At 40.2% G+C, this 12,803-nt stretch overlaps 1 annotated feature.

Annotated features, from left to right (window-relative positions):
• Nucleotides 326–435: an enhancer, noted in NCBI's record as "active region_7973". NCBI's record gives its function as "activates an Ori minimal core promoter by ATAC-STARR-seq in GM12878 lymphoblastoid cells {active_cell/tissue: GM12878}" and the evidence as "EXISTENCE:reporter gene assay evidence [ECO:0000049][PMID:35858748]".

The raw sequence follows: 12,803 nt of genomic DNA, 5'->3' as shown, positions 1-12,803 counted from the left end.
TAGGAGTCTGAGTCAGGCGGATCACCTGAGGTCAGGAATTCCAGACCAGCCTGGTCATCATGGTGAAACCCTGTCTCCACCAAAAATACACAAATTAGTCGGGTGTGGAGGCACATGCCTGTAGTCCTAGCGACTCAGGAGGCTGAAGCAGGAGAATCGCTTGAGCCCAGGAGGTGGAGGTTGCAGTGAGCCGAGATCGCGCCACTGCACTCCAGCTTGGCGACAGAGCGAGAGTCCGTCTTAAAAAAAGATTAGAGGAAGAGTGGGCCGCAATAAGGTCAGAACAGTAGCTATGTACCAGATCATGTAGGGCCTTGTAAACCAGAGTAAGGAGTCTGGAATTTATTCTACACATACTGAGAAACCATTCGAGAGTTTTGAGCAAGAAAATGTGATCATCCAAGTTCCATTTTTAAAATGTCACACTAACTGGTGAATGTTTGAGATGGAGAACTGTTGGAGGAGATGCAGCCAACGTGAAGGCTGGGCGGTTGCTGCTTTCTGCCTGAGTCCCAACCCATCCTGAAACCATAGTTACTGCCACCACTACCACTACCACCGCCAGCATCTACACGAAAAGCTCCGGTCTCATAGGGCCATCTGGTGGCCGTAGTAGGAACTGTTTGATTCCACGGGCTCTGGAAACATCCAAGTCTTTTCAGACTACCACCAAGATCTGTCTCTAATCAAATTATTTTAAGTCCCACTTTCAAAAGTTTCTGTTATCCAATTTATTTATTTTCTCTTGTTTTTATGATTATGATAACAATAGGATATTTTTTTACTTTTCATTATAAGTAAAAAGAAGTCTGGACTACACTCTAATGGACTAGGTTACAATCTTATGAGTGAAATTTACTATTTGTCATAAGAGGTTTCACGGAAAAAATGAGGATCAAATTCTCTCTCCCCTTAAAAACTACTTACCAACACTTCTGGAACATAACAAAGGGACAAATAAGATAATTTATGATGTTACTTTAGTGAAGAAGTTGGAAGTCAAGCTCATGTATATATTTTTAGTTCAGAACGTGGCCCTAGATGTGGAATCATAACATCTGGAACAGCTGGCGAGTGCTGAAAGAATCTCAGGGTTTTTCTTTTTCCTTAAGAAAGAAGCAATTTGAAAGATGAGGCTTTGTTTCAGAGAGGAAAGCTATTTATAACTGGTAGCTGGCAATTGTTGAAGCTATCTCTGGCTACTTTAGATATGAAATGAACTACCTTTTTCAAGAGTACAGTGGCCAAATCAGAAAACTCTCAACTTTTCCTTGGCTAATGCAAAGCACCTCTTTTATATTAATTTAAATGTGTGATGCCAGGACCTCTGATCCTCCTTGGAGAGGATTTTCCAGATGCAATAATGTGGCTAATTGCAATAAGCAGCCCTACTTCTCTCTACGTGGATATTTTCTTGTCCATCACGTTGAAAGATCTTAAAAGCCATGCTTACTCGCTCAACTTTATTCAGGAAACTTTGACACATTATAGCAAGTCTGTTAAAAATTTATTTCACTGGGCATAAAGATCTCTGGCTGCTTTGCTAGGCAGAAGTGAAGCAGTGAATTTGTACTCCAGATATAATTAGATTGACTCTTACTTTGGGGATACTTTTGGATCCTTCCACATCAAAGTAAGATCTGGAGGAGCAATGGCAAAATTCCTCTTTCTGGAAAAATTAACTGTGGTTTTCAGTAGCTGTTAGTGGACTGTAGCAAGACAGGCCTGTGCTCTTGCCAAGGATCTTTCTTTCCCGCCCATCCACACTGTTGTACTATCCCAAAGTACCTGGTCTCATGGGCATGCTCTACATGAAATGAGTTAGGGGTCAGCCCTGTTCTCAGCAGAGACTTGTCACAGAATCTTTCACCACCATCGGCAGCAATTAGCACTAATTGGTACCCTGTGCACCCGCAGAACAGCAAGGGCAGTGATGGAGTGAACAGGCAGGACAAATTACCCTTTCGCCTCTGGGAAGTGAACTTATTGGTTCTGTGCGAAGCTGCTCTGTTCCCACTACCTCAGCTGGGCCTAGGAGGTGGATTAAGGAGGAATTTATTCCCTGAGGCTGTCAAACAAAAGGATTGAAGAAGGTCAGTTCACTGAGTGGGCAAAACAAAGCAGCTGAGTTATGACCACGAAACAGCCATAAATAGGTCTCCACGTCCTCACTCCGTATTGCCTCACCCTTCCTATCTCTCCCTCTCGCTTTCCATTTCTCCCTATAATATTATAAATCCAATCAAAGCAAGTGCTCTGTCAGCATTTTTCTCTCCTTAGCCTCAGAGTGCCTGCTGTTTATACTCATTACTGTGCAAGCCGGGTCACCCCGTGGCTGGGAAGAGATGTGGTCATTTGTCTTTGCTTTGCTACTCTATCAATTCATCCTATCCACTTCACCAGAGATACGGGAGTGACGTGAAAACAAGTAAAATGGGACCTGTGCAAAACTTTGGTCTTTGCAGAATATTAATTCTACTACGTGCCCTTGGGTTTGTCATTCTAATATCTCTGCCATAGCTACTTTAAGTCAAGAGGTTAAAGAATCCTTGAGCGAATTATCAGAGAACAATTAATAATCCTTTCCTCTACTACAAGTAGCCACCAGATGACTTGGCATCACTCACAAGACAACAGAAGGCAAAGGGATGTTGGCATTCTGCCACCTTAGAAAACTCGCTCCTCCCTTTTGCTTAAGTCAGATGCCAGCACTCTTCTGAAGGCTGAGCAGAGAGGAATAGAAAAGGGAGTGGGCGTTTAATTAGCAAATTCACCACAAATAAACGACAGCACCAGGATATCATCAGCGCTCTTCTGTCTTCCTAAGATGAGGAATCGGTTTGAAACTAAACAAAAGCCATTCACTTTCCACCTTGCATTACTTAAAAAAATACTTCTTATCTGAGTTTTTAACCATTCATCTGGGAGGAAGGAACCTCAAAATGGTTGACCTAGAAATAATTCAGCTTTGCAGAGGTGTCTGAGCCCAGACATTACCAAAGCCAGGAGGGACCTTTTAGAAGCATTTATAACTAGATCGATACGTCAACTTGTCCTGCCCTCAGCTCACTCGAGTTTTTGCTGAAACTGAAAGAAGAGCTAGAAACAAACTGCCAGAAGGCTCACAGTTGTCACAGATCGTGTAAGGAGACAAGTCTAGTTTTTGTAGCTCCTTTCCCTTCCTAGAAGGGCTCCAAGCAAGCTGATGTGATATCTGGCCTAGATATCTTTTCATTCTCAATGGCTGGTAAAACACCTGATAGAAAATGCTCAACAACTGCGCATTACATGAAAGAATGGATAAATGAATCATCACTGAAAGGCTAGACGAGGTATAGACTTTATAGCAACTAACTGAGTTCATTCCACTCAGCTCAATGGATGCTCTTTTCTGGAGACCTAGAGCAAAATGAAAAATATATGACATTAGCCAGAAAAGTGACACACTTTCATTTATTCAATTGACAAACATTTATTGACACCTGTGACATGCCAGGCCCAATGCAAGGCAATTGTACACAAAATGAAAAACATAGACTCTGCCTCATAAAGTTTAGTTTAGTTGAAAAGGCAGAGATCAGAACACATAAAGAAAGACAAAGAGATGTGAAATAGCCATCCTAGACTACATCATGGAGAGTACAGAGCAGGAGGCTGCCTGCTCTGGGAATTTATAGAGGAGGAACATTTGAGCTGGGTCTTTGTAGATAAGCAGGGAACCGAAATGGGAAAGAGATGGGTATTCCAGGCTCAGAGAGTGATGGCAAAGCAGAGAATGGCTCTGATGAAGAATGGGCTTGAGGGAGAGGAAGTCACTAAGCATCATGTTGATAGGGAAATGGGATGGGGTGGAGAAGAAAGGAGGTAGAGAGGGTGGAAGGAGAAGGAAAGAAAAAGGATGGAGACTAAGAGAGCTTGGCCTGTGATCGTTTGGCCAAGGGCCTGCGTTCTACCTGGAATACAGGTTTGGACTCTAACCTAAGGCAACAGGGCACCACAAACAAGTTTTAACCAGGACAGTGGCAAGCTCAGATTGTCTAGGAAGACAATGTAATTAACCTGGTCCACAAAGCAGTGTCCCTTTCGTTCCCCATTCATTCCTTGAGTGTGCTTCTGGAAGCTTTGCCTAAATGAATGTTTCCAAATGATACTAAAAGACTTTAAAAAAAGTTAAAAAGACAGTGTATGGAAGTTGTTGGTCAAGGGATGAAAAATTTCAGTTAGGAGGAATAAGTTCAAGAGATCTATTGTACAACATGGTGACTGTAGCTAATAGTGTATTGTATCCTTGAAAATTGCTGAGAGAGTAGATTTTAAGTGTTCTCATCACAATAATTTGATAAGTATGTGCGGGAATGCATATGTTAATTATCTTGATTTAGCTGTTCCACAAGTATACATATTTCAAAACATGCTATACATGATAAACATATACTTTGTCAATTAAATATATGTATATATATAATTTTTTTAATAACACTGTGAGAAATGGGTTGGAGCAGAAGAAAAATAAAGTCAGGAGACTGTTTGATAGCTATTGTAAGGGCAAAGTTTAGGAGGTAAAATTGATAACCCTTGATGATGAAATAATTCAAAAGCTAAAAGGAAACATGGACTTGATAATAATGGAGGTGTTTCCAGCCAGGACATCTGAGTGGTTGAAATGCTTCTTGAAAGACTAGAACCTCTACTTTTAACTCCAGAAAAGAGACACTTGGCCATCAAAATAGTCTCAAAATTGTCATCACTATGTTGAACTATTGTATCTTAAAGGCAGGAACAAATGGCATGTTTCCGATCTGTGTCAGAAAATAGCAAAAAATACTTTAATACAGAGGAGCCTCACAGAGATCAAGGAAACTATGACCTTAAAATATTATCATTTCTCAAAGGTCTAGTTTGTGTTTTCGGTGCCTTTGGTGAACGAGAAAGCAAAGGCTACCTTGGAATTAAGGATGAAAAATCATTTCAGTGATAAAGCTCCACATTCATTCACTCCTAACTTCCAGGTTTTAAATGCAATCTTGATTTTATCTCACCTAAGAACAAGAGTGTGCATTTGGTTTTCTTATTAAAGTTTGACTCAAAAAGCTGTGCAACTACTCAAGGTCCAGAGACAAAGAACAATGATGGAAAGGTGAAGCACATTTCACAGGAATGTGAGATGGCAGGTCTGAGCTAGCAGCGGCCCCTCCCTCCGCCTCGGCCTTGCAGATATTTGCCTCCTCTGCCGCAGGCCTCGGGGATCCAGGCCTGTACATTATTCATTTTGCCTTTGGCACCTGGAGCACACCTTTCAACCGCATGGACAGATGGATGGACATAGCTATGCTAGTAGTCACTTCCCCACTGCAAAATGCACCTGAAAACCACATCTTCCCAAGCTTTCCCTCAGGCATTTTAAATACTCAAAACCTGGTAAATTTTTCAATTTTACACCAAAGTGAACAAGTACCCTACTGTGCAGGAGTTTTACTCAACTCCAAAAGGAGAAAGTATTTTTTAAAAGTTATAAGCAGCTTAAATACGGTTTTGCACAATAAGCTGTTTCATTTGGCTTTTTATCTGTATCAAAACTAGACAGTAAAATGTTTACTGCTTCCTAACTAGATCTGGCAAAGGTTTTATTCTATGTCCTTACTTTGTATTTTCTCTCAGAAATCTCAGGAAATTAAGGATAAAATGAGTATTAACAATGTTTATGTTACAAATGTAAACACAGGAAAGTCAAGAAGCCTTTTAAACATTCCTGGTTTTTTTCTTTTTTTTTTTTTTTTGAGACAGGGTCCTATTCTGTCACCCAGGCTGCTATGCAGTGGCATGATCATAGCTCACTGTTGCCTCGACCTCCTGGGCTCAAGCCATCCTCCCGCCTCAGCCTCCCAATAGTTGGGACTACAGGCATGCACCACCACATGCAGCTAATATTTTAAAATTTTTTGTGAAGACAGGGTCTCCCTGTGTTGCCCAGGCTGGTCCTGAAGCTCCTCGGCTCAGGTGATCCTCCCATGTTGTCCTCCTAGATTGCTGGGATTACAGACGTGAGCAACCGTGCTGGCCTAGGAAGCATTTTAAAAAGGAAACATTTAATAGTCATTTTATTATCTATGCTGTTCCCAAGTAAAAGCTATATATTCTTGTCCTGTTTTCCAAATATTCCTCTGCTGAGGAATTGATATGTCAGAATAAACACACTTACAAAAGAATCTTTATTTTGCTTTTGTTGACTTGAGTTTGTAACTCAAATAAACTGAATTGCTCAATTGTTTCACATGTATCATAAACACAGTGAAGCGTTTAATTTTTCTTACTATATTTCTTGGTAATACCTGTCAAGTCAGCTAATCAAATAGATATCATCATCTACTCTGCTATGTTCTTTTTTCTCTTCTACTTATTATCTGAAACACACCAAAGGCAATGGGAGGCATGAGCGAATTTAAATCCCTTATAAATTATCCCTAGCAATGGTATTTTGCCTTTACCTTCAAGAAGGGCTTTTATAATGAACTCTCTTATAGGGACTTTGAAGAAAACAGAAGAGAGGCACGAAACTGAGCACCCTGTGGAGAGCCTTTCTAAACAGAAGGCCAGGCCATCTTCCCGCTCAGTTCTGCCTGGACAGCATTTGTTAGGGGCAAACAATTTTCTCCTCCTGAGCCCTGTACAAAACATTTTCAGGATCTAACTCCCAACACAGCAGATTTCTTGACATCTAATCACAGCTGCCTGGTTTTATTGCTAATAATGGTCTATTAAAATTCCAAATCAGCTTATTAGTATCTTTATGTATTTCTTCAATGAATAAAACAAGAATTCCAACAGAACTCTCTTTTTAAGTCAGTAACAAAGCATCAAAGTGATAAGGGACAAAAACCCAGAGAATTCATCTTTAAATTGCTATCAAGGGAAATGAAAACAAAAAAAAATGGGGGTCATTCACTGTAGCAACAACCTCTCTCCTGATAAAAAATAAAATGCCATGCATGCAGATATTGGCCAAGACAAAGGAGAGAAGTTATTTCTATTAAAGATCTTTCATGTAAGTGGCCATTTTCATTTGATGATATTTATAGCACTGTGAGAAAATTAAGTAAATTAAAAGTTTAACATTTGCATGCATCTATTTACACAAAAGACTTAAGTTTAAAACAAGATAATATGGTAAGATGATGTAGAAAGAGAAATAATTTCTCTGAAAGTAATTAAAGTTAAAAAATAAGAATCTTAGGCCAGGTGCGGTGGCTCACACCTGTAATCCCAGCACTTTGGGAGGCCAAGGTGGGCAGATCACCTGAGTGAGGAGTTTGAAACCAGCCTGGCCAATATGGCAAAACCCCATCTCTACTAAAAATACAAAAATTAGCTGGGCATGGTGGTGAGCACCTGTAATCCCAGATTTTCAGGAGGCTCAGGCAGGAGAATTGCTTGAACCCAGGAGGCAGAAGTTGCAGTGAGCCAAGATCGTACCGTTGCACTCCAGCCTGGGGGACAGAGTGAGACTCCATCTCAAATAAAGAAATAAATAAATAAGAATCTTTTTAAAAAATAAAAATCTTTTTCTAGAGATATGGGAGCCTATGCTCTGCTTGGAAACTACATTGTCAGTAGAAATATGGCTATGATCAGTAACTACAGGGGCTAGGCACTGAACACAGGCCCTGTGAACAAGGATGAGGGCTCCTATGGTTCCCAACCAGAGTGGGTGATCTCTGTTGTCCATAGGGAGAATCAGTGCCCTACACATAGCCAAAGAGCATTGCCTGCATGACAGTAACAGTATCAACTGCCCTGGATGAAGACTCCTCCATCATTTTTTTTTTCAAGACCAAGCAAGCGTCTAAAGTTCTTGAACAATTCGAAGAGTAGAGCCCTAATAAGACCAACGTAATATTCTTCTGCTAACCAGGCAGACTGAAGCATACCAATTTTTTCTTAATCTTTTAAAAAATGTGAGAAGTATAATATTATTACACCAGTATTATAGTTTATGTATGTTTCAATAGCAAAACGTAAACAGACCTAGGAAATTCAACTCAAATAAAAAGTGGGCACAAATATGCCAACTCTAAAGGTCAACACGGTTGTCTTTGGCTCTGTGCTATTTTGAAATGATCAGTCTGTGTTGAAGGCTAAGATCTTTTTTAAAAGGCAAGTTCCAAAGCACATTTATTGTTATGACTTTACTTGAGCTTTCTGAAGAAAACATAATGGTTTTAAGAAAATATTGAATGTGGCTTTCAAAATCCCTAAATGAATCTACATATACATAAAAAATGCCTAATGCCACATATAAAGGTCATATACCTTCTTGACCCTTCATCCAGGAGCCAAATTCAGGTGGGTGCCGACGACTTCTCAGCTACTGGTAGATGACCACTCCCTCTTACCTGTTACTCAGCCCGTGCATAGATTTGAGTAATTTCATCAGTTACCAAAAGTGAAGCATTGGACTCTGATCTTGCAAAGCAAATAACTCTTTGGGTTTACAAAGGGCAAAAATTTCCATGGGAAATCCCACATATTATAATCACCCTGGGTGGATCCACATTGGTACACCAATGTGTTCCAATACTATATTTCCTATGAACCAACTAAAGTCAGATTCCTGGAAGGAACACTTCTTGGTTCCTACCATATCTATGAAATGCCTACATCCCCTTACTGAGGTATTAAGAATGTTCAGAAAGCATGCTTCCCATCTTGGTCAGATCACGTCTACACCATTGCCTCAAGCTTTGGAGACCACAATTTAAGAGGCAATATTGAGTAATTGGAGTATGTCCAAAGGGTGTAATCAAGACTGTGAAAGTAACTTCAAATGACAAATGATTGAAAAAGAACTGGTGATGTTTAGCCTGAAAAAAAAAAAAAAGACTGTCTTATACTCTTCTCATTGCAATTTCATAGAAAAGGTTCGTTTTGCATGGAAAAAGGCTTATTTTTTGTTGGTTGTAAGAGGTAAGCAGATTTCAGCTCCATATAAGGAAGTGCTTTCTCATAATTAGAATACACTGTTTTGTCAAAGAGAAGTGTCACTTTCCTGAAAGAATTCCCATTCACCATCTGCTACCAATACTTTTGTACTAAATAAGAGATTGGACTCCTAACCTTTAAGGTAGCTTTAAATTCTAGGTTCCTAATAGTCTGTATATTTGGTTAACTCATAACATACTATACTTAAACACATTTTTTGCATGAGAATTTTGAGTCATTCTGGAACGAAGAGTTTCTTCTAAAGCAACTGGTTAAGTCAGAAACACTTGATTTGATGCCAGCAGATATGATCCCCATTACCTTACAGATTGCTAAAACTGTGAAAGCATAAACTTCAATGTTAGGCTTAGGTTCAAATCCCTCCTCTACCATTTAAAACCTGATGTGACCTATGCAAGTCCCTTAACCTCAATAAGCTTTAATTTCTTCATCAGTAAAATGGGATAATAGTGTTTAGCTCATAAGACTGTTGTAAGGATTTTTTTTCACATTCATACAAGCCATGTATTTAAAGTGTACAATTCAGTGGTTTTCAGTATATTCATAGCATTGCACAACCAATACCACTAATTCCAAAACATTTTCATCACTCCCCACAAAAACTCTGTACCCAGCAGCTGTCATTCCCCATTTCTCCCCAATCCCTATCCTCAGGATAATAAACATAAAGAACTAGGCAAAGTTCCTGGCTCGAAGAAACCCCTTAATATAGGGCAGTTGTTATCAGACATCATGCCTACCACATCCCTACAACATGAGGTTGGAATGTGCTTTTTCCCTGTACTGTTTGAATACTTTCCACATGCCCCAAAACGTACTAGAAATATACACATAGAGGAAGATGGATGGGGAAGGGGAGGGACACAAAAGTTTTTTATGCATAGTCCATAAGCAAATACATAAATACATCTGAACACACAACTCTTTTTTTAAATGTTTTGTTTTGAGATAGTAGTAAATTCACGTGCTGTTATAAGAAATAATACAGAGAGACACATGTACTCTTTACACATACCTATGTAATCCAGCTATTTTTATGTAATCTATCTATTTTCTTATGTTGTGAGGCTTTATTGTTAGTTTTCTGTCCTCCATCCAATTTACCGATGCGGACTAAGAGTGGAAATAATAAATGTGGCTGAGTGGACCCGGTCATGACAGCACTGAGAACCTGGGAGTATTCTCCCTGGAGATCTATGCAGTCACTCTCAGCTTTTCACTTTAGCTTGAGACACTGTCACTCCCTGCTAAGACTTCCTTTCTAGAGAACCCCTGAACACTGCTTGGTGAAAAGCAGAGCCCTTTTCTGTGAGGCTGAACTATTCGGATTCTTGGAAAATGGCGGTGTTGTGGTTCATTGGGCAAAGGATGTAGTTTGTGTTTAACATTGGAATATTCCAATTTCTATTGATTAGATCAATTAATATTCTAGTGCTGAGGTGAGGTAGTATGTTTTCTTTCCTCCAAAAGCAATTACTCTGTATTGACTGAGCTCTAGGGGAAATGTTTCCTAGGACATAGCTGAGGTTGGTTTCAATACAGTTGGAGTCTTTCATGTGGAAAATTCTCTACTTAGCAATTATGTGCAATGAGAAAACTTGAATTCATAAGTGGTTCAGTAAATCACAAGCCATGAAGAGTACAGGAAGAGCCAAAGAGAGAAAGTCTTGGCATTTAGCCAAATTCACCTCACCAATATTTCCCAAAAAAATGGCCAACAAAATCCTGTGGAGAGCATTTTAAAAACACAGATTTCTGCACCAAAATACACCCATCCCCACTCCTGATGGTTCTAAATTCAACGGATTAAGGCAGAACCAGAGAAACAGAATTTCCATAAAGCTTCCCACAAGGGTCCACTCGGGAGCCAAGGTTGGGAACCACTGCTTCAGGCTGGTATATTTCACTGTGATGACCATCCCTTCATAGTAGGAAAGAGTGAATGAACACCTCCCTTCACTTTCACTGTCAAAATTCTTAATTTATTTTAAAATTTTTTTTACAATGATAATAATGAATTTCAGTTTTTTAAATTACTTAATGGAGATTATCTAGTTGGAGGTATTATGATGCCAGTTTCATGGAAGAATATGCCCTGAATTCATCCCAAATTTGAAGAGAAAAAATACTATACCCCACTGCTGCCAGAATATTTCACTTGTGACCAAAAAAAAAAAAAAAAAAGAAAAGAAAAACTCACCGAGCAAGGCTGGGTATAGTGGACCATGTCTGTAATCCCAGCACTTTGGGAGGCCAAGGTGGGTGGATTGCCTGAACCCAGGAGTTCGAGACCAGCCTGGGCAACATAGTGAAAGTCCATCTCTACAAAAAAAATACAAAAAAATAGCCAGGTGTAGTGGCACGCACCTGTAGTCCCAACTACTGGGGTGACTGAAGTGGAAGGATCACTTGACCTGGGAGGTCAAGGCTGTAGGAGTGAGACCCCATCTCAAAAAAAAAAAAAAAAAAAAATCTCACCAATGCCAATCATCTTCTAGCTTATCCGGCAAGTGGTGAAGGTGGGTGAAAACAAGGTGCATGCCCAGGTACACCCCTACAATGATGAAATCAAAAACTCTGACTGAGCTTCCCCCACCATGCTCCCCCATCCCTTACAAACTCCTCTGTACCCCATAAATCCCACACTCAACATTGTCACTGTTCGTGTATATCAGAATCATACCTCTGAAGACCATATAAAGGTTGGGAATCCAATCTCTGGTACTAGGAGCACATTTTTAATTAAGAGCCTGTCTGAATTTGGAGCTATTACACACTGTAGCAATAAAATTAAACACTGTCACTCTCTGTTCTTTAATAGCTGACACACGTCTCATATTCAAAGTCCCCAAACTATAATTTTAAGAAATATCCCCTTAGTCTCTGGCTGTCAAATAAGCTCTGCACAATTTTTCTCACTTCGTCTTCACTTCATAGACTATAACTATGCTTAAAGTGTTAGACTCAAATGGGCATACGTGGCACATAAAGAATATTAAGTGCATGCAAAAATGGTAGCCTGTATCATGCAATCTTGCAAGAACTTGGGAAGGATGGAGCCTAGAGGAATTTGCCCAGGTGGTTCATAGAAGGCCTCTTGGGGAGGTGTTCTTTCCAGAAAGAGGTGCATTTTAGAGATGTGAATCATCAGACACAGCAGATGAAATGAGTGGAGGACACAGTGGAGCAGGTAGGTGGAAGCATCTCCCTTTCGTACCAACGTGCCCCAGTCTCAAATGATGATCTCTGAAGATGGAGACGTAGTGTACAGCCACACAGTGTGTCTCAAAGTCTGGTTCCCAGACCAGGAGCATCAGCATCACCAGGAACTTAGAAACACAAATCTTTGGGCCGCATTCCAAATCACTGAATCAGAAACTCTGGAGTTGGGGTTCAGCAACCTGTGTTTTGACAAAACCTCCAGGTGATTCAGATGCACCCTCAGGTTTGAGAACCACTAGATTACAAGAAATGGAAATCTGACAAGTCCGATCAGACATTTCCTCTTAGGCTGTAAGAAGCAAAACCTCTCTTCCCACCCCAGTGTCCTCTCTGCTTGCTCCCTGTCTTCATTCCCTTACACTGGCATCCTCTTCCCTCTCCTCCCTCGTCACCCCTTCCGCCTCACCACACACCAACGAACACCTGTACGGCGTTCAAAGAACTAGAAACCAGCCCCCATTTCTCCTCTACTTGGAGAATGTATTTTATAACGTGTGCATAGTGCGCAGGCAAGGGGCGGAATTTAAACAATGTCTAATTAAAGAAGACAACACCACACGTTTATCACATTACATTGTTGTGTA

Source organism: Homo sapiens, chromosome 13 (genome assembly GCF_000001405.40).
Source record: "Homo sapiens chromosome 13, GRCh38.p14 Primary Assembly".
In the NCBI taxonomy this organism is placed as follows: Eukaryota; Metazoa; Chordata; class Mammalia; order Primates; family Hominidae; genus Homo; species Homo sapiens.
This window is presented reverse-complemented; position numbering and strand designations above follow the sequence as displayed.